Below are 25,683 nucleotides of genomic sequence, written 5' to 3'. Positions count from 1 at the left end.
ATTCAACATCCATTGGCGGAATACCTGTTTACACTGTGCTGTGTCAGGCACATGAATGAGACCACATACTTGTATTTAAGGGTATTTAAGAAGTGGGATTTAGGCCTGGCATGGTGGCTCATGCCTGTAATCCCAACATTTTGAGAGGTGGAGGGAGGCAGGCTGTTCACTTAAGGTCAGAAGTTCGAGACCAGCCTAGCCAACAAGGTGAAACTCCGTTTCTACTAAAAATGCAAAAATTAGCCAGGTGTGTTGGCGGGCGCCTGTAGTCCCAGCTACTCGGGAGGCTGAGGCAGGATAATCACTTGAACCCAGAGGTTGCAGTAAGCCAAGATCCACCACTGCACTCCAGGCTGGGCAAGAGAGCAAGACTCTGTCTAAAAAATAAAGGGGAGCGGGTGGGGATTTAGAGCAGGACGCCTTCCCAGTGTACCTCAAACGTGGAGGCAGCAGAACCTCAAAGGAAAAGTGCCAGTGTGTGTAGACCTGGCCGGGTTCCAAGCCGTTCTGCCCCCACTGCCTGTGTGTCACCTGGAGCAAGCCATGGTGCTTCTCCAAGAACGGGGTGATCAGGTGTGCCGGCAGACGCGAGGTCAGAGCATGGGCTGATCTGACATTCAACTTAGACCTAAGGACTATTGGCTGCTGTTGTTGTGGTGGACAGGAGGAAGGCAGGACAGATGACATCCCTGCCGGCGTCCACTTTGGGGTCAGGGCCCTGGAGAAGGGGCCCGGGCCCCAAGTCACTGGGCTGCAGGAGTTTGCACTTGACATCCCAGCTTCATTCAGGGGCTTTGAATTCTTCTCCATGTCCATCCAGAGAGGGAGATCGGTCCTTTTCTTTTTTTCCTTCTTTTTTTTTTTTTTTTTTTGAGTTGGAGTCTCACTCTGTTGCCCAGGCTGGAGCGCAACCTCCATCTCCCGAGTTCAACAGATTATCCTGCTTCAGCCTCCTGAGTAGCTGGGACTACAGGCACACGCCACCATGCCGGACTAATTTTTATATTTTTAGTAGAGATGGGGTTTCATCATGTTGGCCAGGCCGGTCTCGAACTCCTGACCTCCAGTGATCTGTGAGACCGGACCTTTTCAATGAGGCCATTTCACCACCTAAGCGGGGGTGGGAAGCTTGGAGGAGGAGGGACAGAATCTTCCTCTTTCTTTGTGTAAAGCTACAGATATCTATATATGCAGGACCTAAACAGACGCACAGTATTAAAATTTCATGGGAGTGGCGATTAGGGAACAAAAATGGCTTTAGACATTTTAGACAAGGCTTCTTAAGGAAGCGATAATGAAAAACAGTTGTCCAAGAAGGTGTAGCCCTCAGGCCCTGCCATACCCAGATCCGCCATAGGAGGGCGGCACTTCCCAAGCGCGGGCGGTCTCAAGTCAGAGTGACGCCAGCGCAAAGGAAGCTCTTTCAGAAAGCTCTGCTGCCTGTGAGCTGGAGCCCACTCACTCCTGCTGCTCCCACGAAGCTTCCCATCCATTTACTTTCTGCAAACCTTCATGGAGCGTCATTGGCCTTGAAGAAGCAGCAATGGAAATTCAATTCCAGGCTCTCCAACCAGACTTTGCAAAGTGGATCTTTGCAGCTCCTGCTCTGATCACGCCCTGGTTTTGTGGGTAAAGGCAGGGTTCCTTTCCAGTCCCCAATCCCAGCTGGTACTCTTGAGGGTCCTAGGTCAGAGGCTAGAGTGGGCCGCGTCCCGCCAGCCCTGGGGGACACCTGGGTCCTTCTCCGCCCCACCCATCCTGCTCTGCCCTCCAGGTCCTGTCCCCTCGGTGGTGAGGACCGAGATCTTCCTGCAGTCCTCCCGGCGGGCAGCTTTCATGGTGGACGGGGCAGTGCACTGGCTCACCAACTTCATCATAGGCTTCCTGTTCCCATCCATCCAGGTGAGTGAGGGCCCCTTCCCCAACCCGCTCCACCGGGCCTCCAGGGAGTAAGATGTATTCCCCTTCCGCTAAGCACATCTGTGAATCCAGCAAGGTGGGGACAGGCTCTCAGACACATCCAAGGGTCCACAGACACACGTGGCCCCACTGCCTGCAAACCCTTGAAGACACCGGTTTCTCAGTTACTGAAGGGTGATCCCCTGCTGACATTGTAAAGGGCTATTGCTTAGGGGCTCTGGTCCGCGGAGCTCAAAGGCGCCAGCAAACAAAGCCAGAGCCAGGGTGCAGATCCCCCACCGCTTCCTTCCTCTGTTCCGAAGACAAGATGGGCCACAAACTCTGCGCTCTCAGCACCTTCAGGGCACAGAGGCCATAAACCCCTACTGTCAAAAGGTTAAGCAGTCTTTTTTTTTTTTTTTTAGACAGGGCCTTGCTCTGTCACCCAGGCTGGAATGCAGTGGTGCAACCACAGCTCATAGCAGCCTTGACCTCCCAGGCTTAAGTGATCCTCCTACCTCAGCCTCCCAAGTCGCTGGGACCACAGGCATGGGCCACCACACATGGCTATTTATTTATTTATGTATTTTAGGGATGGGGTCTTGCTATATTGCCCAGGCTGGTCTCAAACTTCGAAAGTGCTGGGATTATAGGTGTGAGCCACAGCACCCAACCAGATTCTTTTTGATAATAGGGTGAGGGGGAATCCAATTTCTAGCTTTTTTTTTTTTTTTCCTGCAAACAATCTTTAGTGATCACAGTTTTCTAGCTATATCATTCCTCCAGGAGTGAAACAAAACTGGCTGCCAAGCAACTCCTTTATGGACTCACAAAGGCCTCGACCAGCATTGGTTATTTGTTGTTTGTTTTGGGGTTTTTGTTTTTGTTTTTGTTTTTTTGAGACAGTCACGCTCTGTTGCCCAGGCTGGAGTGCAGTAGCGCGATCTTGGCTCACTGCAACCTCTACCTCCTGGGTTCAAGCGATTCTCCTGCCTCAGACTCCCAAGTAGCTGGGATTACAGGTGTACACCACCATGCTCAGCTAATTTTTGTATTTTTAATAGAGACAGGGTTTCATCATGTTGGCCAGGTTGGTCTCAAACTCCTGACCTCAGGTGATCCACCTGTCTTGGCCTCCCAAAGTGCTGGGATTACAGGCATGAGCCAACGTGCTCAGCTGAATCAGCACTGTTGCCTTTCTCTGCCCCCTCCTGTCTTTCTCGTCTCCTGGTCTAGGAGGCCATCGGTGCCTACAGTTTCATCATCTTTGCCGGAATCTGCCTCCTCACTGCGATTTACATCTACGTGGTTATTCCGGAGACCAAGGGCAAAACATTTGTGGAGATAAACCGCATTTTTGCCAAGAGAAACAGGGTGAAGCTTCCAGAGGAGAAAGAAGAAACCATTGATGCTGGGCCTCCCACAGCCTCTCCTGCCAAGGAAACTTCCTTTTAGTGGCCCTGCATGAAGGACGGGAGCCCATATTCAAGGCTTCCTTCTATGACAATGGGCCTCCCGGCCCCAGGCTCTGGGGAGGATAATAGCACGGAGGCTTTTGTCGTTGCCCCCATTTAACTTAATTATGGATATTATTAAATACCCACAACAATGCATATTTAGCTGAGAAGTTCCAAGGCTAGCCATTGAGGAATGACCTGGAGGAAGGGGCCGGCACGTGAATTTTGATTGGTTAAGACTCGATTTTCCGATTCTACATTGGCACCAAAATTTAAATGATGTATAGATGCACTTTTTTAAAGTAAAACTTTTCAAGTTCCACAATTGCTATGGATACCCGAGCTGCCGTCATTGCATCAATTAAGGAGTCCAAGGCTCTGAATGCCATTGCCTTCCTGGCGACGTGGCTTCCTTTCTCCACCCCGTGGCTGCAGGTTGCACCGTGAATCCCAGCCTGCGTGCCCAGCTCTGTCCTGTCGATCACAGGGTGAAGGGGGCCAGCCCCTCGACACCTGTGGGTATTTCTCGTCAGGTGGGATGAGAGACTGAAAAAAGAAATAAGACACAGAGACAAAGTATAGAGAAAGAACAGTGGGCCCAGGGGACCGGCGCTCAGCATACGGAGGACCCTCACCAGTACTGGTCTCTGAGTTCCCTCAGTATTTATTGATCACTATCTCTACTGTCTTGGTGAGGGGGATGTGGCAGGACTATAGAGTAATGGTGGGGAGAGGGTCAGCAGGAAAACATGTGAGCAAAGGCTCTGTGTCATAAATAAGTTTAAGGAAAGGTGCTGTGCCTTGATGTGCACATAGGCCAGAGTTATGTTTGACTTTACACAAACATCTCAGTGTAGTAAAGAGCAGTATTGCCGCCAGCATGTCTCACCTCCAGTCATAAGGCAGTTTTCTCCTATCTCAGTAAACAGAACGTACGCTCGGGTTTTATACCGAGACATTCCGTTCCCAGGGACGAGCAGGAGACAGATGCCTTCCTCTTACCTCAATTGCAAAGAGGCCTTCCTCTTTCACTAATCCTCCTCGGCACAGACCCTTTACGGGTGTCGGGCTGGGGGACGGTCAGGTCTTTCCCCTCCCACGAGGCCATATCTCAGGCCATCTCCATGGGGGGAAGCCTTAGACAATACCCAGGCTTTCTTGGGCAGAGGTCCCTGTGGCCTTCCGCAGTGCATTGTGTCCCTGGGTACTCGACAATGGAGAATGGCGATGACTTTTACCAAGCACACTGCCTGCAAACACATTTTTAACAAGGCGCATCCTGCACAGCCCTAAGCCATTAAACCTTGAGTCAACACAGCACATGTTTCTGCGAGCACAGGGTTGGGGCTAGGGTTACAGATTAACAGCATCTCAAGGCAGAAGAATTTTTCTTAGTACAGAACAAAATGGAGTTTCTTCTGTCTACTTCTTTCTACATAGACACAGTAGCAGTCTGATCTCTCATTCTTCCCCCCACAACAGGGGCCACAGGCAAGGGAGTAAGACCATTCCCAGTCCACTCTCTCTCCTCCTCTCCCTCCAATGGGGAAGTTGATATCTTCCTTGAAAACAAGGTGCAGTGCCGGGCGTGGTGACTCACACCTGTAAACCCAGCACTTTGGGAGGCTGAAGCGAGTAGATCACCTGAGCTCAGGAGTTCGAGACCAGCCTGGGCAACACAATGAAACCCCGTCTCTACTGAAAATACAAAAATTGGCCAGTGCGGTCATGTGCGCCTATAGTCCCAGCTGCTTGGGAGGCTGAGGCAGGAGAATTGCTTGAGCCCGAGAGGCAGAGGTTGCAATGAGCCATAATGCCACTGCATTCCAGCCTGGGTGACAGAGTGAGACCCTGTCTAAAAAAAAAAAAAAAAAAAAATAGCACCTGCATTCAGGCCTGACCATGTCACTCCCTGCTGGAATCCTAGGCTGATTCTATCACTCGAGATGATAAGGCTGGAACCGTATTGTCATAACGTGGGTTTCCTGCCACCACCCCAAGTACTTCCAATCCTCTGTGCCTTTCTCCCTGGCGTGCTTTCATGTGCCTTCCCTCCAAACGATCACAGCCCTACCCAGCCTTCAAAACCCAGCTCGAATGAGCCTGAAGAACCTCTCCTGTCCTGTCCAGCGGGAGGTCCTCTCACCTCTGGGCCCTGGAATCACCGTGCATCTTTTTCCATTGGCATGCTTGTCACTTTGCATATTAATTATAGGTTTACCTGTTGCCCTGTAGTGTCCAAACTTAGTGGCTTAAAACAATGACAGCTATTGTGACTCCTGGTTCCTGTGGGTCAGGAATTCAGATAGGACTCGGTGGGAATGGCTTCTCTCTGCCCTTTGACATCTGGGGCTTCAGCTGGAAGACTCGGAGGCCCAGGAGCAGAGCTGTCTAGAGGCTTCTTCCGCTTCTGATCGCTGGTGCTGGAGGGCAGTGAAACTGACACTCAGCCTGGGCTCCTCACACCTGGGGCACTGGATTCCTGGGGGTGATGGGGCAGGGGGAGACAGAGTCACACACACACACACACACACACACACACACACACACACCAGGAAAGTCACATGCTGTTTGCTAGATGCTAGTCAGTCACTCCGGCCCACAATAGTGGCAGGGGGGATGGTTGTGTTGAGAATTAGACCACCCCTTTTATTTTATTTTTATTTATTTATTTATTTTGAGACAGAGTCTTGCTCTGTTGCCCAGGCTGGAGTGCAGTGGCACAATCTCGGCTCACTGCAACCTCTGCCTCCCAGATTCAAGCGATTCAGCTGCCTCAGCCTCCCAAATAGCTGGGATTACAGGTGCGCACCACCACACCCAGCTAATTTTTGTATTTTTAGTAGAGATGGGGTTTTACCATGTTGGCCAGGCTGGTTTTGAACTCCCAACCTCAGGTGATCCATCTGTCTCGGCCTCCCAAAGTGCTGGGATTACAGGCATGAGCCACCGTGCCCAGCCTAGACCACCCCTTTTAGAGACAGGGTCTCGCTCTGTTGTCCAGGCTGGAGTGCAGTGGCAATCATGGCTCACTGCAGCCTGGAACTTCTTGGCTCAAGCAATCCTCCCACCTCAGCCTCCCAAAGCACTGAAGATTACAGGAGTCAGCCCCCGCACCTGGCCCCTTTTGAATAGAGGAGTGTCAAAAAAATTTGCAGAGATAGTTTAAACCCACCTCAATATCTTTCTTTGGGTCTCACATTTTTCACCAATTCGGTCCTTAAGTTACTTAAGGTCTTTTAGTTTTACTTTGCATGTCTCTAAATTGAGGCTGATAATCTTTGCCTCACATAAATCGGGTGGAAATGCTTGGTAAGTACGAAGCATTTCACAAAGGTCAGGGTTCATCTTCATGGCTGCTATTAGAAATGGATCTGACAGCTGCGTCCCCTGCACGCTCATCCCAGAGTCTCCATTGGGCCCATTCTCTGTCTGGATCTGTACAGAGCCCTGCACCAACGACTGAGTCCCCAGCAGGTCCAAGGTGTGGCTCCAGCAGGTCCTGTGGCTGAGGCAGCCCAGGTGTCTTCATCCAGGAATTCCAGGAGTCCATGTGATTCCTCCCCCGAATAAGAATGCCTCCCTCCTGGGTCACACACCCTGCTGGAGTTCTGTTCCCACAGCCTTTCCTGTGGTCCACAGAAGGGAGTGTCCAGGTCTCATAGTAAGCCAGTTAGTGGTATGAGAGCAAATCAGTGAAGAAGCCATCACCAGAGTGTGGGCTGAGTGAGCCCAGGGCCACCCAAATACAGTTGCTGCACTCTGGAGTAAAATAGAAAATGATCTGGTGGTCTTTGTAGTTGGTGTGAGTGGAGAAATAGGTTCTGAGCCTGGACAAAGCTAACTGGCTTCTGCCCAGTAGAATACAGCCAGGGGACAGGATAGTAAGGGGGTGTTACGAACACTGGAATGCCAATAAATATGACAACCTAGATGAAATGGACGAACTCCTTGAAAAACACAGAGGACCAAAGCTTGCTCAGTAAGAAATAGATAACCTGGGCTGGGTGCAGTGGCTCATGCCTATAATCACAGCACTTTGGGAATCACTTGAGGTCAGGAGTTCGAGACCAGCCTGGCTAACATGGTGAAACCCTGTCTCTATTAAAAATACAAAAATTAGCCGGGCAAAAAAACAAAAAAGAAATAGATAACCTGAATAGTCTTAAGTCAATTAAAGAAATTGAATGTGTAATTTAAAAAACCTTCCCAGAAGGGAAGAAAACTTCAGGCCCATATGGCTTCACTGGTAAATTCTACCAAACATTTAAAGAGGACATAATACTCATTTAACACAAATTCTACCAGAAAATTAAAAAGGAAGGAACACTTCTCAATTCATTCTATGAAGCCATAATTACTCTGGCACCAAAACAGCACTGAAGACATGACAAGAAAACTACAACCCAATATCACTCATGAGCATAGATACAAAAATTAGTAACCATATTTTAGCAAGCAGACTCCAATAATATATTATAAGGATAATAATATATCTTAACCAAGTAGGGTTTATCTCAGGAATGCAAGATTGGCTTAATCCTCCCCAAATTGATCTATTCCAGTTAAAAACAATTTCCATCAAAATTCCAGCAGGCTGTTTTTGGCAGGGGGTGGGGAGGCGGTGGAGGATGGGGTTAGAAATTGACAAACTGATTCTGTTATTTATATGGAAATGCAAAGAAACTAGAATAACCAAAACAATTTTGAGCAAGTTGAATTTGGGGGAATAATATTAACTTGACCTCAAGGCTTATTGTAAAGCTGGAGTAATCAAAACCGTTTGTTGTATTAACGCAATAATAGTGAACAGTTAATGGAACGCCAGGAAGAAACCAGAAATAGACCCACACCTATACAGACAACTGATTTTATTATTTATTTATTTATTTTGAGATGGAATCTTGCTCTGTCGCCCAGGCTAGAGTGCAGTGGTGTGATCTCGGCTCACTGCAACCTCCACCTCCTGGGTTCAAGCAATTCTTCTGCCTCAGCCTCCTGAGTAACTGGGATTGCAGGCGCCCGCCACCACACCAGGCTAATTTTTTGTATTTTTAGTAGAGACAGGGTTCCACCATGTTAGCCAGGATGGTCTTGAACTCCTGACCTCAAGTGATCCACCTACCTCGGCCTCCCAAAGTGCTGGGATTACAGGTGTTAGCCACCACGCCTGGCCTCAGACAACTGATTTTCCAACAGAAGCAACTGAGTGGTGAAAGGACAGCATATCCAACAAATGTGCTGGAGCAGTTATGTCACATGCAAAAAAATCAACTCTGATTCCTACCTCACATCGTATATACAAATGAACACAAACTGGAGCAGAGATCCAAATTAAAACCTTAAATTATAAAACTTCTAAATAGGAGATAAATCTTTGTGAGCTTAGGTTACACAACACACTAAAAGCACAATCCATAAAAGAAAAAATTGATAAATTGGACTTCAACAAAATTAATAAAATTTTCTATTTGAAAGGTTGTTATAAGAATGAAAAGACAAGCCACAGACAAGCACAAAAAAATTGCAAATCATATATCTGAGAAAGCACTAGTATCTAGATGTACAAAATGTACAATGCATAAGAAAGTCTCAAAGCTGGCCGGGCGCCGTGGCTCATGCCTGTAATCCTAGCACTTTGGGAGGCCGAGGCAGGCAGATCACCAGGTCAGGAGTTCGAGACTAGCCTGGTCAACATGGTGAAACCCCGTCTCTACTAAAAATACAAAAATTAGCCGGCTTGGTGGTGGGCACCTATGATTCCAGCTACTCGGGAGGCTGAGGTAGGAGAATCGCTTGAACCCAGGAGGCGAAGGTTGCAGTGAACCGAGATTGTGCCATTGCACTCCAGCCTGGGCAACAAGAGCAAAAGTCCTTCTCAAAAAAAATAAATAAATAAATTCTCAAAACCCAGTAATAAGAAAACAATTCAATTTTTTTTATGGGCAAAAGATTGTGTTTTGTTTGTTTATTTGTTTGTTTGTTTTTTTAAGAAACAGGGTCTCGCTCTGTTATCCAGTCTGGAGTGCAGTGACACAATCATGGCTCACTGCAGCCTCAAACTCCTGGCCTCAAGTGATCCTCCCGTCTCAGCCTCTCGAGTCACTGGGATTGCAGGGGTGAGCCTCTGCACTTGGCTACTGGGCAAAAGATTTGAATGGGCACTTCACCAAAGAAGATACGTGATGGTAAATAAGCACATGAAAAGATCCTCAACATTGGCCGGGTGCAGTGGCTCACACCTGTAATCCCAGCACTTTAGGAGTCCGAGGTGGGTGGATCACTTGAGATCAGGAGTTCAAGACCAGTCTGACCAACATGGTGAAACCCCGTCTCTACTAAAAAAAATACAAAATTAGCCGGGCGTGGTGGCACACACCTGTAATCCCAGCTACTTGGGAGGCTGAGGCAGGAGAATTGCTTGATCCCGGGAGGCAGAGGTTGCAGTGAGCCAAGATCGTGCCATTGCCCTCCAGCAACAAGAGCGAAACTCCATCTCAAAAAAAAAAATGCTCAACATTATTAGTAATTATGTAATTATGTAAATTAAAACCACAATGAGACACCACTGCACATCTTGTTAGGATGCCTAAAATTTAAAATACTGACTACAAGTTTTGATAAAGATGAGGGGCAACTGGAACGCGGGTCCACGGCTGGTAGATATGTAAAATGGTCCAACCACTTCCAAAAGCAGCTTGCCAGCCTGCTAAACAGTTAAATGTACATCTACCACATGACACAGCCATTCCAATCCTAGGTATTAACCCAAAGAAACCAAAGCAGATGTCTAAACAAAGACATGCACACAAATGTTCATAGCAGCTTCATTTAGAATAGCCAAAGAATTGGAAGCACCACCAAAGTACATCAAGGTGAATGGGTAAGCAAACAGTGGCCTAGCCACACAGTAGAATTGTATTCAGCAATAAAAAGACACGAACTATTGACACGCTCTGCAATCTGCATGAATCTCAAAGCACTTCTGCCGAGGGAAAGGAGAAAGACCCTCCGAAAGTGCCTACTATATTATTTCAGTTGTATAAATTTCCAGAAAATGCAAACTAATCTTCAGTAACAGAAAACAAATCAGTGTTTCGCTGGGGAAACTTTTGGGGGCAATGAAATGTTTATTATCATGCTGAGGTGATAATTTCACGAACGTGTATATATGTCAAAATATCACATGTACAGTTTAAATAAGAGAAAAAACTATAAAAATGTTTTCTAGGCTGGGCATGGTGGCTCATGCCTGTAACCCCAGCACTTTGGGAGGCCAAGGCAGGCAGATCACTTGAGCCTGGGACTTCAAAACCTGCCTGGCTGAGATGTTGAGACCTTGTCTCTGCAAATAATCTAAAAATTGGGAGAGTGTCATAGCACGTGCCTGTAGTCCCAGCTACTTGGGAGGCTGAGGCTGAAGGATCCCTTGATCTCAGGAATTTGAGGCAGCAGTGAGCTATGATCACACCCCTGCACTCCAGCCTGGGCCACAAAGCAAGACTGTGTGTCTAAAAAATAAATTAATTAATTAAATAAAAAAATTTTTTTTGAGACAGACTTTCACTCTTTTTGCCCATGCTGGAGTGCAGTGGCACAATCTCAGCTCACTGCAACCTCCGCCTTCTGGTTTCAAGCGATTCTCCTGCCTCAGCCTCCCGAGTAGCTGGGATTACAGGCACCTGCCACCGTGCCTGGCTAATTTTTGTATTTTTAGTAGAGACAAGGTTTCACCATGTTGGCCAGGCTGGTCTCGAACTCCTGACCTTGTGATCTGCCCACCTTGGCATCCCAAAGTGCTGGGATTACAGGAGTAGGCCACCGTGCCTGGCCATTTTTTTTTCTTTTTTGAGGCAGAGTCTCGCTCTGTCGCCCAGGCTGGAGTGCAGTGGCGCGATCTCAGTTCACTGCAAGTTCCGCCTCCCGGGTTCACACCATTCTCCTTCCTCAGCCTCCCAAGTAGCTGGGACTACAGGCGCCCGCCACCATGCCTGGCTAATTTTTTGTGTTTTTAGTAGAGACGGGGTTTCACGGTGTTAGCCAGGATGATCTCGATCTCCTGATCTCGTGATCCACCCGCGACGGCCTCCCAAAGTGCTGGGATTACAGGTGTGAGCCACCACACCTGGCCAATATTTTTAAAATATATGCTAGTAAGCCACACTGTCTTTTGGCGTTTGTGCACCTGGTGGGGAGACGTGTGACCTTGAAAATAATCAGGAGATCTGGCCAGGCGTGGTGGCTCACACGTGTAATCCCAGCACTTTGGGAGGCTGAGGCAGGTGAATCACCTGAGGTCAGGAGTTCGAGACCAGCCTGGGCAACATGGTGAAACCCCATCTCTACTAAAAATGTAAAAAATAGCTGGGCGTGGTGTTGAGCCCCTGTAATCCCAGCTACTTGGGAGGCTGAGGTGGGAAAATCGCTTGAACCCAGGAGGCAGAAGCTGCAGTGAGCCGAGATTGTGCTACTGAACTCCAGCCTGGGCGATGGAGCAAGACTCCATCTCAAAACAAAACAAAACAAAGAAAAAAAAAGAAAAGAAAATCAGGAGATCTGAAGTCTAGTCTCCGCTTGGCCACAGTCATCATGACCTTAAACCAGTCCCTAAATGTCTCTGGGATTTCTTTCCTAGGCAGTTGCATGGGAAAAGCATTCCCTTCCGTCACCTGCCACAGAGGTGGTGCAGCCTTTGAGATCAAGGTTCTTGATGGTGCTTAGCTTAGTGCCTTGTAAGCACTTCCAGTGGGTGTTCAGTAAATGCTTGTTTATCGGGTTTCATTCCGGGGTCAGGTGACCATGGCTCCAAGTTCTAAGCGCTGCAGCCTCTCCCCGCGTGTCTTTGCCAGAGTTTGTTACTGAGGCTGGGGTCAGGCTGAGTCACGCTGCCGGCCACTGTCTCATAGATACGAGATTGTTTGGAAATGAAGACTGGGCAGGTCTTTGAACTTTGCTTGGCTTACACAGATTCACTAATCATTCTTCCTAAGCCCAGGTGCTCCAAAGACGTGACTCCACAGATAAGGAAAGATGCACAGGCCAAGGTTCCCAGGAGGGCAAAGCGTGAGCCTGGGCTCAGGATGAGGCCTGGTGGCATTCCCTTAGGTCAGCCCACTCATTTGGATTCACGGTTACACTTGGGCGTGGTGTGCCAGGTTAGGCAGCTTACAGGAGTAACTGGAAGGCCCTCTAGTGAAAAGTCACTCAAAAAACCAGAGCAATTCCATTTTCAGGCATAGAAAAAAATAGTGCTGATTGAAAATTCAGTATCTATTAATGCAGGAGTCATAGGACCTCTTCTTGCAGATAACTTGGTCAACAATTAATTTGCCATAAGTTGTACCCTTGAATAAAGAGAACATTCTCTGGGTGGCCAGGCGCTGTGGCTCATGCCTGTAATCCCAGTACTTTGGGAGGCCAAGGCAGGTGGATCACAAGATCAGAAGATTGAGACCATCCTGGCCAACATGGTGAAACCCTGTCTCTAATAAAATAAAAAAAAAGTAGCCGGGCATGGTGACGCACACCTGTAGTCCCAGCTACTCAGGAGGCTGAGGCAGGCGAATCGCTTGAACCTGGGAGGCGGAGGTTAGAGTGAGCCAAGATCGTGCCACTGCATTCCAGCCTGAGCGACAGAGCGAGACTCTGTATCTAAATAAATAAATAAAGTCATGTTTTTATAGAATACTTTTATTTCACATACCAAAATTTAAAATAATTCCTTAATATCATCTAATAGCCCCACCATATTCAAATATCTACAGTGGCCCGAAATGTTTCTGTGATTGCTTCTGTCAGACACCAGGAGGTGCCACTGAGGTTTTAGTTTAGGGTTTGTTTGTTTGTTTTTATGCCCTTTTTAAATTGCAGCCATGTGGATTCAAACCCTAAAGCCAGGGAAGGACAAGCTGGTGCTTACAAATGCTCAAAGGCTACCTTTCTCCCCTGATATGTTTAGGCTGTGTCCCCACCCACATCTCATCTTGAATTCCCACACGTTGTGGGAGGGACCTGGTGGAGGTAATTGAATCATGGAGGCAGGTCTTTCCTAAGCTAGTCTCATAATAGTGAATACGTCTCATGAGACCTGATGGTTTTCAAAAGAGGAGTTCCTCTGCACAAGCTCTCTCTCTTTGCCTGCTGACATCCGTGTAAGACGTGCCTTGCTCCTCCTTGCCTTCCGCCATGATTGTGGGGCTTCCCCAGCCACATGGAACTGTGAGTCAAATTAAACCTCTTTCTTTTGTAAATTGCCCAGTCTCAGGTATGTCTTTATCAGCAGCATCCTTTACCCAGATCTGCAACCTGATGTCAGGTTTCCTTGCCATCTCCCTTTATTAGGTGGGCTTCTTTCCTAATCTTTTACCCACGGTACTCTCTTCAGGGTCCCACTTCAGGGAGGGCATCTCTATGCCAGTCCTCCTGGGTGGCTGGGCTGCAAGGCTGGAATCCTGGAGCTTCTGAGACCCACTCAGGGGATTGGTCACCTGAGGGCAAGGCCCACAGACAGGATGTGCAAAGCCGAGACAGGATGACCACACTTCTGATGCCACACTCTGGATCCTGGGCTCCGGCTATACTGGAAGCCAGGCCTCCCCTGGATTCTTCTGGTAGGTGAAACAATGGGTTCCCTGTGTTGCTAAAACTTGTGTGTTCTGGATTTTCTGTCTCTGAAAACAAAGGTCTTGAATAAAATAGTTCATTAGAGAACAAAGCAGCAGGAAGGTGGGGATGGTTAATGAGCACAAAAAAGAAAGAAAGAAAGAGAAAAGGAAGAAAGAAAGAAAGAAAAAGAAAGAAAGAAAGAGCAGGCCAGGTGCTGTGACTCATGCCTATAATCCCTGCACTTTCAGAGGCCAAGGCAGGAGGATTGCTTGAGCCCAGGAGTTTGAGACTAGCCTGGGCAACATAGCAAGACCCCCATCTCTACAAAAAAATATATTAAAATTAGTTGGGTGTGGTGGCATGTGCCTGTAGTCCCAGCTACCCAGGAGGCTAAAGTGGGAGGATTGTCTGAGCCCAGGAGGTTGAGTGCAGTTCATGCCACTGCACATTAGCCTGGGCAACAGGGCAAGACCTGCCTCAAAAAAAAAAAAATGGCTGTGACCCCAGCTTGGATAATGGGCTGGAATAGACAAATGTAGAGAGAAGCAAGTGTGGAAGTAAGGAGACGAGTTAGCAGGCCACTTCCATAGACCAGGGAAGAGATACTGGTGGCTTGACTACAGAGGGATAGTGGAAAAATGGAGGTCACTAGAGATTGTTGAGACTACAATTGAGAGACGTTTAGGAAGTGAGATCAATGGGGCTCAATAATGGACTGGAGAGTGGGTGATGGGGAGGGAGAGGTTACAAATGTTTGCTGGTTTTTACATCCTTCATCGGATGGGTGGTGGTAACACTTACTGAATCTGGGGTCACAAGGAAAGTACCAGGCTTTTTGGGGAAACCAGGCATTTAGTTTTGTACATGTTGTGGTTGAGTCCCCCCACATTCTGGGGTGGGACCTGATTGGGCTCCTTGATCACATCTATCCCGGAAAACAATCCTTGTAGCCAACAGGTTGTAGCACGCTGACACATCCCACTCAAAACACATGGACTGAGAACTGGGGAGGACGAAGAGCAGCCGCTGTGTCTCACAGAGATCTGGGAGAAAAGGGTGTCCCAGGTTAGGATTTGGGTGTTCTTGGCATCCTCAGCGCCATTGAAATGCCAATTTGATCAAATCTCCACATCCCAAAGGTGCTACTTCTGCTCTTTCAACCTGTCTTTAATGCTCTTAGCCTTGGGTTCTGCATTAATGTTTATGTTGGCTGGACACAGGGGCTCACGCCTGTAATCCCAGCACCTTGGGAGGCCGAAGCGAGTGGATCACTTGAGGTCAGGAGTTCAAGGCCAGCATGGCCAACATGGTGAAACCCCTTCTCTACTAAAAATACAAAAATTAGCCAGACATGGTAGCGTGCACCTGTAGTTCCAGCTACTCGGGAGGCTGAGCAGGAGAATTGGTTGAACCCAGGAGGTGGAGGTTGCAGTGAGCTGAGATCGTGCCACTGCACTCTAGCCTGGGCGACAGTTGCATTTGCATTAACCTCTCTGTTGTCTTATCTTTTTTATTTTTGCTTTGTATTGTTGTAGTAGTTGTTTTGGAGACTGGGTCTCACTCTGCCACCCAGGCTGGAGTGGAGTGGTGCAGTCATGACTCACTGCAGCCTCCAACTCCTATGCTCAAGCCATCCTCCTGCCTCAGCCTCCTGAGTAGCTGGGATTACAGGCACACACTACCATTTTTTGTAGAGACAGGGTCTCACTATGTTGCCCAGGCTGGTCTTAAACTACTGGCCTCAACAGATCCTCCTGCCTCAGCCTCCTAAAGTGCTGGGATTACAGGCATGAGCCACCACACCCAGCTTGTCTTATGTTTTAGCTATGTCTTAGTTTTTTATTCTTTGATCCCATCTGAGAATATTTGCCCTTGAATAGCAGAGTTTAATCCATTCTTATGTCTTACAATTGATGTTTGTTCTTCTGCATCTTATTGTATGCTTTGTTTCTTATATGTTCTTGCTATTTTTGAATTTTTCTTTTCTTTTGCTATATTGATTAACTTTGCTTAATTTTTATATCCATGATTTGAGGTTTTACATTCTATTTTTATTTTATTAATAGTGCCTACAGGCTGGGCATCGTGGCTTACGCCTGTCATCCCAACACTTTGGGAGGCTGAGGCAGGAGGATCAACTTGAGGTCAGGAGTTCGAGACCAGCCTGGGTAACATGGTGAAACCCTGTCTCTACAAAAAATACAAAAATTAGCTGGGCATGGTGCCTGGGCTGTGCCTGTAGTCCCGGCTACTCTGGAGGCTGAAGTGATTGAGCCTGGGAGGCGGAGGTTGCAATGAGCCAAGATCGTGCCATTGTACCCCAGCCTGGGTGACAGAGCCAAACTCTGTCTCAAAAAAAAAAGAAAAAAAAAAATTGCCTACAGAGCCCTGGAGACCCTTGCTGGTACTTAGAAATCCCCAGTATGGCTCCCTCTTCCTGTGATGGGGGGCCCACACGTTGACCATTGCACTCAGGCTCCCAGAGGTCGCAGAGCCAGTCCTGCCTCTCCCCAGGGAGCCCAGAGGTCCCAGAGCCAGCCCTTCCTCTCCCCAGGGAGCACACAGTCCCTGAGCTGGCTGACCTTGACATCCCATGTCATTGCCTACATGGAGGGACACTCCTCTGTGTCCCTCCTCCGCCCCCACCAACCTCCCGGGGACAGCTGGGCTGATTCCCCAGCAAATCCACAGCTCCCAGCAGTTCTCAGATGCAGCCACACAGCCCACTGGGCTCTGCAAACACTTAGTTTCACATGGAAGTCCCGGCCTACCCCAGATGAAACAGTGACTCAACCAACAGCCTCAGGCCTCCCTCAGTCAGCTGCCTCTAATACTCCTTTCCTCCTTATCAAATCCACCATCTGAAACCCAAAAGAAAGGCATCACAATGAAACTACTTGCTATCTGTTGTTTAATTCACACTGATTTAATTAAGTGATAATGCTTCATCAATTAACTTTCCCTGTAGTGTTTTTATTTTCAAAGAGAAGCTTATAAGCCAAAAAGGATTTTTCCTGTTTTTTGGAGACAGAGTCTTGTTCTGTCACCCAGGCTGGAGTGTAGTGGTGTGATAGCTTACTGCAACCTCAGCCTCCAAGGTGAAAGTGATTCTCCTGCCTCGGCCTCCTGAGTAGCTGGGATTATAGGCACCTGCCACCACGCCCAGCTAATTTTTGTATTTTAGTAGAGACAGGGTTTCACCATGTTGGCCAGGCTGGTCTCAAACTCCTGAGCTCAGGCGATCCACCTGCCTTGGCCTCCCAAGGATTACAGGTGTGAGCCACCGTGCCCGACCATCTGGATCTTTGCCTCTAAGACGTACACAAGCAGGCGTCTCTCAGGGCCCCTCTCAAAGAGAGGTCAATGCATGAGCAGCACCCCTGAGCCCGGTGCGTCCGGGGCCTCTGTCAGCCTCCACCCACAGGAGCTCATTATGCTGTCAGGGTAGGGTGGGAAGCTCTGACACAGAGACTGTGGGGGCATTCGCCCCATGTTTGGAAGATGCTGGGGTCCTGACACCCTCAAACTCAGCCCTGGGTCCTGCCTTGGTGGAGCTGAGACTGCTTGGAGCCACCTGGAAAATGCACCCCGCCCTCCACCTCTTGCTGACGTGTCCCATAGGCCAGCTCCAGGGGTCCAAGGGCTCGATGAGAGCACAGGAATTGGAGCTGGGTCCCAGCATCCCACTGAGAGGCTGTGTCAGGGTATACTGTCTTGTCCCAGCGTCATTGTCAGGACGTGGAGATAGCAAAGCCTGTCCCTGAGGCTCCAACAAAATCAAAGGCGTGCTGTCTTAGTTGGGAACGGTGTATTTGTGAAGAGCAGAAATGCAACCGAGGCCTGCAGGGAATTTCTGTGTAAGTCAAGGGCAGGAAGTACAGCCCGGTCCGGCGGTTGTCAGCAGGTCATCGTTCACCACCCCCGCCACGCTGACCCCCCTCGGAAGCCCAGAGGTCCTCCTCTGCTTCTCTCCAGCCCTGCATCCTTCTCCCTGGACAGCGGCTTTCCTGCGAAGGGCTTAGCACCTGCTCCCCAGCATACACTTGTGTGAGTTTTAGGGTGACCAGGTGCCAATCGTGGTCCCCTCTGCACGGCCTTGGCATTCAGATATCACTTACTGAGGCCTGAGAGGGGGCACCTGAGTGACTGCTGGCCCACCGTCCCTTCAGCTGTGGGTGGGGTGGGGGACCCCCATTATTCAGGTGTGAGGGTGCTTGGAAATTCCTTAAGCAGTGCATAGAGGAAACAGGGACCAACATCCCCATGTCCAGAGCCCCCCACATCCCACTGGAACAGTGCAGGGACACGCAATCTGCCCTTTGTCCTTGATATGCTATTAACTTACCTGGAGACCTCTATAGATCTTCTGTACCTCAGTTTACCAATATTAAAAATGGGAGGGGGTGGACTGGATGATTTCTGAGGTCTCCTGGGCACAGCCCCTGCTGTCCTCACAGACGCCACTGGAGGGCAGCACCTCCTCTGTCGGGGCTGCTGGTTCTGCTTGACCCCTCCAATCTGTTCAAGAACCTTCCTTGCTTTAGGTTTTGGGGGTTTTTTTGTTTTTGTTTACAAAATGACACCAACACAGAAGGTCTTTCAGAGAATTTCTGGCACTGGTGAGAGGAACACCCACGGCCAGCACCATGTAACAGCTAACGGGCTGTGTCTAAGGAAGGATGTTTTGTTTCTCAAAACTTGTACTGAGCAACATGAATTTACAGGAACCAATATTAGAACATCAAGATCCCAGGCCCCACTAGGGTCTTCCCAGCTTCTGCCCCTCGGGAGCAGTTGCTCAGTGACTTCCTTCCCACTGACAACGTGGTTTTGTGGCTGTTTAAAGAACACGATTCTTTCTGCTGTCCCTGGGAGAGGATGCCCCGTTGTGGCTGGGGGCCCACGCGTGCTCTCCAGCTTCTAGGAGGTTTGTAGAAAACAAAATTGGCCTCAACAATGTAGTTTATAAAGTGAATGTTAGCCCAAAAGTAATAGCACTGGAAGGCCTTTTATTTCTTCTTGGATTTTTTTTTTAGTTTTAGTTTTGTTGTTGTTGTTGTTTGTTTGTTTGTTTTTTGAGTCAGAGTCTCGCTCTGTCACCCAGGCTGGAGTACAGTGGGGCGATCTCAGCTCACTGCAGCCTCCACCTCCCGGGTTCAAGCAATTCTCCTGCCTCAGCCTCCCATGTAGCTGGGATTAGAGGCACGCGCTACCACGCCCAGCTGATTCTTGTATTTTTAGTGGAGATGGGGCTTCACCGTGTTGGCCAGTCTGGTCTCAAACTCCTGACCTAACGTTATCCGCCCACCTCAGCCTCCCAAAGTGCTGTGGTTACAGGGGTGAGCCACCATGCCCAGCTCCTTAGTTTTAGTTTTTAAACAAAATTCAGGTCCAGGCATGGTGGCTCATGCCTATAATCCCAGCACTTTGGGAGGCCGAGGTGGGAGGAATCCTTGAGCCCAGGAGTTCCAGACCAGCTTGGGCAACATAGCAAGATCCTGTCTTTACGAAAAATACAAAAATTAGCCAAGCGTGGTGTTGTGCACCTGTGGTCCCAGCTGCTCGGGAGGCTGAGGCAGGGGGATTGCTTGAGCACAGGAGGTCGGGGCGGCAGTGAGCTGTGATCACACCACTGCACCCCAGCGAGGGAGGCAGAGTGAGATCCTACCTCAAAAAAAAAAAAAAAAACAGCCCTTCGCTCACTTCCTGTTGCTCCACCTGCCCTGGCCTCCCGACCTCTCTCCGATCCTGTTTGAACCTCTGCATCTGGGAGATACCTGCTCGTCCCCCTTGACTCACCCTTTTTGCTGCCCAAGGTGGGACCCACCCCCAGCAGGCACACCTGGAGGGACTCACATGGCAGCAACAGGGACCACCTGCCTCCCGCCCAACCCTGACCTGCAGGAGGGGTGTCTGCCACAGTAGGGCCTCAGGAAACTCTTTGTTTGTTTGTCTGTGGCAGGGTCTTGCTCTGTTGCCCAGGCTGGAGTGCAGTGGTGCAATCTCAGCTCACTGCAACCTCTGCCTCCAGGGCTCAAGCGATTCTCCCACCCCAGCCTCCGGAGTAGCTGGGACCACAGGTGTGCAGCACCATGCCCAGCTAATTGTTTATTTTTTGTAGAGACAGGGTCTTGCTATGTTGCCCAGGCTGGTCTCAAACTCCTGGGCTCAAGCGGTCCTACTGCCTCGGCCTCCCAAAGTGCTGGGATTACGAGCGTGAGCCACCATGCCCAGCCCCAGGAAATTCTCATTGCATGATTCAGTCCAACCAGCAGCTTCCTGGCTCCTATTTGCCTTTCCAGAAAGCAGACTCTCCCAGGCTGAGCGCCAAGCCTGCCATTCCTCCGTGAGAACCACAGTGAGTGCCAATGAACACCCTGTAAACTGTCACTGTTGGAACAATTGTGCTTCCAGGTCTGCGAGAAGCGCAGGGAAAATGACAGCTTGCTCACTGCTCCCAAAGTGCTGGGATTGCTCAGGGCTGAAGGTGCTTCAGAAACCCACGCTTTTTGTCCTCAAAGTTTTTTTGTAGGTTCTGAAAGTAATGATTTTTCTGGATCCATTAGTCATATGGGAGTATTGCCTGGGTCCCCCTCCTTCATCGCAAAGGGAAGAGTCATAGAATGATGGAAAGATGACTGGCTTAGAGTCTGAGACCTGAGTTCAAATCCTGGCTCTGTTGCTAATGAAAGCTGGGCCCCAGTTTCTCTACCTGTACCTTGGCAATCAGAGTTCCCCGCTCATGGTGTTGCTGAGAGACTCAAGACAGGCTGAGATCCATGGGAATTTTCAGGAATGTTTATTTAAATTTATTTTTATGTTCATTATTGTAAAGACAAGGTCTTGTTATGTTGCCCAAGGTGGTCTTGAACTCCTGGGCTCAAGCAGTCCTCCTGTCATGGCCTCCTAAAGTGCTAGGATTACAGGCATGAGCCACCATGCCCAAGAACTTTCAGGATCTTTTGAAGGACAACATAAATGTGAATGACCCTGGTAAATAAAACATCCCAAGAGCTAGCTCGGTGCTGAGCCCAGTTCCGGCCTGCTTCATCCCAGACACCCCAGCCTTGCTTTCTGCATTTGCAGCTGCACTCCTGCCTCAGACCAGAATCTCCCGGTGGCCCTAGGTGGCTGCAGGGAGCACGTGGCTCCTCCAGCCCAGGAATCCAGTGGAGGAGATTTCTGGAGACCACCATGATTCCACCCAGAGGGCAGCCCTTCCCTCCTACAGGACATATTCTTTCTAGAGCCACTGTGCAGCCGCTTCCATAGGCGAGCCCTCCCTGAATAGGAGCACAGTGGGAGCAGTTGGCTGAGCTCTGGGCTCACAGCTCAGGGCACAAGGGCAAAGAAGCCATCCTCTCAAGCTCATTGTCATCCCTGGGGTAAAACAGAAGATGGCCTGGTGGCCTTTGTGAGGTGAGTAAAGAAGCACAACAAGGAGGAGGAGAGATCCATGCCCCATGTTCAGTGCAGAGAACGGCATGTGCAAAGGCCCTGTGGCCGGAACACATTTGGTGTCTCTGAGGAACGCTGCAACCAGAGCTCGGTGAGAAAAGGGAGGGCAGAGACAGATGATGCCCAGAAAGCGGCCAGGGCCAGGGAGGCAGACCACAGCTAGGGCTTCGGAATTCCTTCAAGGTGTAATGGGGGCCAAGTGTGGTGGCTCACGCCTCTAATCCCAGCACTTTGGGAGGCCGAGGCAGGTGGATCACCTGAGGTCAGGAGTTCGAGACCAGCCTGGCCAACGTGGTGAAACCCCGTCTCTACTAAAAATACAAAAATTAGCCAGGCGTGGTGGTGCATGCCTGGAATCCCAGCTACTCGGGAGGCTGACACACAAGAATTGCTTGAACCTGGGAGGTGGAAGTTGCAATGGGCCAAGATCACGCCACTGCACTCCAGCCTGGGCAACAGAGTGAGACTGTCTCAGAAAAAAAAAAAAAGAGAGATTATAGCACACTTTTTAATACTACCTATAACATTGAATAAAAGATTAATTTTTTAAAAAAGTGTCATGAGAAACACCGGAAGTTTTGAAGTAGGAAAATGATGTAATCAGATTTTTATTTTAAAGGGATAAATAGTAATAAAGGTAATAAAGAGTAATAAATACCCATGTATCACCACCCACCTTCTGCAGTAAGTCGTTAAAGACTGAGTTCTCTTCCATCCCTCCTCATAATTGATATCACCACTACACTTAATTTCATGTCTTTCTTTTCTTGCTTGCTTGCTTTCTCTCTTTCTTTCTCCTTCCTTCCTTTTCTTTCTCTTTTTTCTTTCTTTTCTTCCTTCCTTTCTTTTTCTTTCTTTCTCCTTCCTTCCTTCTCTCTCCCCCCTCCCTCCCTCTCTTTCTTTCTTTTTCTTTCTTTCTCCTTCCTTCCTTCTTTCTCTCTCTCTCTCTCCCTCCCCCTCCCTCTCTTTCTTTCTTTTTTGGAGACTGGGTCTCACTATGTAGCCCAGGCAGAAGTGTGATCTCGGCTCACTGCAGCCTCAACCTTCCAGGCTCAAGTGATTCTCCTACCTCAGTCTCCCAAGTAGCTGGGACTACAGGTGCCTGCCACCACAGCCAGCTAATTTTTGTATTTTTGGTACAGAGTCTCACCAAGTTGCCCAGGCTGGTCTTGAACTCCCGGGCTGAAGTGATCCTCCCACCTTGGCCTCCCAAAGTGCTGGGATTACAGGCGTGAGCCACTTGCCCCTGCTCGGTGTTTTTCTTATTAATTACCTTTACTATGTGTTGTGTCTCCTTGACATTATACAGTCATGTGTCAGTAAACAATAGGGATATGTGCCAAGAAACGTGTCATGAGTCATTGTGTGAACACCGTAGGGTGTACTTGCACAGACCCACATGGCATAGCCTACCCACACTAGGCTCTGTGGTGTGGCCACACTGTGGAGCAGTGTAACTGCTCCTGGGTTACAAAGCTTCACAGCATGTTACTCTACTGAAGGCTGTAAGCAGCTGTAACACAATGCTAAGTATTACTGTATCTAAACGTATCTAAACATGGAAAAGGCACAGTGAAAATACAGTGTCACCATCTTCTGGGCCCACCGTCGACTACACTACCCATCACTGACTAAAACATTGTGATTTGGCACCTAACTGTGTATGTACATCATTATTTTGTTATTCAACTTTTTATAAATACTACGCTATTTTTTCCTGGACTTGCTTTTGTTGCTCAACATGTTTGTAACTTTTTTTGTTTTTTGTTTTGTCATTTTGTTTTCTGAGGCAAGGTCTGGCTTTATTGCCGAGGTTGGAGTGCAGTGTGGTGCGATTTTGGCTCACAGCAACCTCTGCCTCCCAGCTCAAGCTGTCCTCCCACCTCAGCCTCCTGAGTAGCTGGGACTACAGGCGTACTCCACCATGCCTAGCTAATTTTTGTATTTTTTGTAGAGGTAGGGTTTCTCCATGTTGCCCAGGCTGATCTCGAACTCATGAGCTCAAGAGATCGGCCCAGCTTGGCCTCCCAAAATACTGGGATTACAGGCATGAGCTACCATGCCTGGCCATGTTTGTACATTTCTATCATGCTCATATTTCTTTTTTTTTTTTTTTTTTTTTTTTTGAGACGGAGTCTTGCACTGTCACCAGGCTGGAGTGCAGTGGCACGATCTCGGCTCACTGCAACCTCCGCCTCCCGGGTTCAGGTGATTCTCCTGCCTCAGGCTCCTGAGTGGCTGGGACTACAGGCACGTGGCACCACGCCCAGCTAATTTTTGTATTTTTAGTAGAGACGGGGTATCACCATGTTGGCCAGGATGGTCTCGATCTCTTGACCTCATGATCCACCCGCCTCGGCCTCCCACTTTGGTGCTGGGATTACAGGCGTGAACCACCGTGCCCAGCCTCATGCTCATATTTCTAATTTTCATTTTCTAGTTCATTTGTCTTTACCACTGCATGATATGATCTCTAAAACATCATTATTTTACATTCACCTATTGACAAACTTTTAGGTTGTTTCCTATATTTTTCCATTATAAGTAATGCTGCGATGAGCATGTTTGTTTCTTATGCATTCATGCAAGTCTCTGTAAAGTAAATACCTAGAAGTGGAATTTCTGGGTCCTAGGAGATGCCCCTGTTCGACTTTATGAGGTCTTACCAAACTGCTTTTAGAGCGGTTGCACCTGTTCACGCTCCCAGCCCTGGATGAAGATTGCTTCACATCCTCAGTTGCACTTGGTAGCATCAGACCTTAAAGTTTTTGCCAATCCGAGGCTGTGAATTGATATCTCATTGCGGTTTTCATTTTCATTGCCTTAATTACTATTGATCATTCCTATTTCTCCTCCTGTAAATTGTCAGTTCCCCCCTCCTTATGATTTTTCTGTTGGGTTGTTAGTTGTTTTCTTATTGATTTTTAGCATTTCTTTATATGAATGCTAATTCATTCATTCAGTACATTTTCACTGAGCATCTTACATACCAGATAGTCTTTTCAGGTGGTTGGAGTTTGTCGTGAAAAAGAAAACAAAAATCCCATCTTCCTCATGGGGCTTACTTCTTCATGGCGAATTACACATTCTTCTGTGGCCTGAGTTTCCAGAAGCACAGTGTGTACTCTTATTTCGTGTTCAGTGATGTTAACACTGCTCAGTGTTTCCAAAGGTTGTCGGCCTGATCCACAGAATAGGATAGGATAGAATAGAATAGAATGCAATATAGTGTAAAGATCCCATCAATCTCCCATCTAATGGTGTTGGAAACCAATCATGATCATTACCGGGGTCCATCATTTCATTGAGGCTGCAAAATGACTCCTTCTGAATATACTAACTGTAATTCCTCCAAGAAGAACTCATTCTCACCAACTCTATAGGGTAGAACAGTGGCCACCCCAAAAGAATGTCCCCCCAGAACCTGTGAATGTGACCTTATTTGGAAAAAGGGGGCTGGGGGGGGTGGCTCATGCCTGTACTCCCAGCTCTTGGGAGGCCAAGGAGGGCAAATTGCTTGAGCTCAGGAGTTCCAGACCAGCCTGGGCAATAAGGTGAAACTCTGTCACTATAAAAAAAATTGTTTTAATTAGCTGGGTGTGGTTGAGCGTGCCTGTAGTCCCAGCCATTTGGGAGGCTGATTCGGGAGGATCACTTGAGCCTGGGAGGTTGAGAGGTTGAGGATGCAGTGAGCTACGCTTGTGTCACTGTACTCCAGCCTGGGCAACAGAGGGAGACCCCATCTTGAAAGAAAGAAAACGAACTGAGAAAGCAGGAGGAAGGAGGGAGGGAAGGAAGGAAGGAAGGAGAAGGGGAAGGGGAAGGGGAAAGGGAAGGGAAGGGAAGGGAAGAGAAGGAAGAAAGAAGGAGAAAGAAAGGGAAAGGAGAGGAAAGGAAAGGAAGAAAGAAGGGAGGGAGGGACAGAAAGGGAAGGGCAAAGGAGGAAGGAAGGAAGGAAAAAAGAAAGAAAAGAAAAGGATCTTTGCAGATATAATCAAGTAAAGAATTTTGAGATGAAGTTCTGGATTATTCAAATGGACCTTAAGTCCAATGACAAATGACCTTATAAGAGAAAAGCAGACGGACAAAGACACAGAGAAAAAGGGAAGACCATGTGAGGATGGAAGCAGAGACGGAGTGATGCAGCCACAAGCCAAGGAATGCCCGTGACCGCTGGAAGCTGGAAGAGGCAAGGAAGAAGCCCCCCAGCATCTTTGAGGGCAGCTTGGTCCTGCCAACACCCTGATCTCAAATTTCTGGTGTC

At 48.5% G+C, this 25,683-nt stretch overlaps 1 protein-coding gene across 2 annotated transcripts in view, besides 5 other annotated features; it reads left to right on the top strand.

Annotated features, from left to right (window-relative positions):
• The window catches only part of SLC2A7 (solute carrier family 2 member 7), a 33,890-nt gene extending 19,770 nt beyond the window's left edge, over positions 1-14,120 (top strand). The window contains exons 11-12 of one of the 2 annotated variants that reach the window (XM_011540824.3): positions 1,775-1,902; positions 13,741-14,120. In XM_011540824.3, the coding sequence (XP_011539126.1) occupies positions 1,775-1,902; positions 13,741-13,974 (362 nt within the window). In that variant the 3' untranslated portion in view covers positions 13,975-14,120. Of the gene's footprint in view, positions 1-1,774; positions 1,903-3,135; positions 3,682-13,740 lie in introns of those variants that run through there. The other variant, NM_207420.3, reaches the window with a different exon arrangement.
• Positions 1,318-1,844: an enhancer, noted in NCBI's record as "H3K4me1 hESC enhancer chr1:9064869-9065395 (GRCh37/hg19 assembly coordinates)". NCBI's record gives its function as "activates a minimal SCP1, AML or CMV promoter by ChIP-STARR-seq in primed H9 embryonic stem cells {active_cell/tissue: H9 hESC(primed)}" and the evidence as "EXISTENCE:reporter gene assay evidence [ECO:0000049][PMID:30033119]".
• Positions 1,326-1,605: a silencer, noted in NCBI's record as "fragment chr1:9065108-9065387 (GRCh37/hg19 assembly coordinates)". NCBI's record gives its function as "represses an EF-1alpha promoter that drives an FKBP-Casp9 reporter gene in an ReSE screen in phorbol 12-myristate 13-acetate-treated (for megakaryocytic differentiation) K562 erythroleukemia cells {active_cell/tissue: K562(+PMA)}" and the evidence as "EXISTENCE:reporter gene assay evidence [ECO:0000049][PMID:32094911]".
• Positions 1,845-2,373: an enhancer, noted in NCBI's record as "H3K4me1 hESC enhancer chr1:9064340-9064868 (GRCh37/hg19 assembly coordinates)". NCBI's record gives its function as "activates a minimal SCP1, AML or CMV promoter by ChIP-STARR-seq in primed H9 embryonic stem cells {active_cell/tissue: H9 hESC(primed)}" and the evidence as "EXISTENCE:reporter gene assay evidence [ECO:0000049][PMID:30033119]".
• Positions 17,697-18,197: an enhancer, noted in NCBI's record as "H3K4me1 hESC enhancer chr1:9048516-9049016 (GRCh37/hg19 assembly coordinates)". NCBI's record gives its function as "activates a minimal SCP1, AML or CMV promoter by ChIP-STARR-seq in primed H9 embryonic stem cells {active_cell/tissue: H9 hESC(primed)}" and the evidence as "EXISTENCE:reporter gene assay evidence [ECO:0000049][PMID:30033119]".
• Positions 20,003-20,504: an enhancer, noted in NCBI's record as "H3K4me1 hESC enhancer chr1:9046209-9046710 (GRCh37/hg19 assembly coordinates)". NCBI's record gives its function as "activates a minimal SCP1, AML or CMV promoter by ChIP-STARR-seq in naive H9 embryonic stem cells {active_cell/tissue: H9 hESC(naive)}" and the evidence as "EXISTENCE:reporter gene assay evidence [ECO:0000049][PMID:30033119]".

Source organism: Homo sapiens, chromosome 1, assembly GCF_000001405.40.
Source record: "Homo sapiens chromosome 1, GRCh38.p14 Primary Assembly".
NCBI lineage: Eukaryota > Metazoa > Chordata > Mammalia > Primates > Hominidae > Homo > Homo sapiens.
Note: the sequence above shows the minus strand (reverse complement) of the source record. Positions and strands in the feature narration are given on the sequence as shown.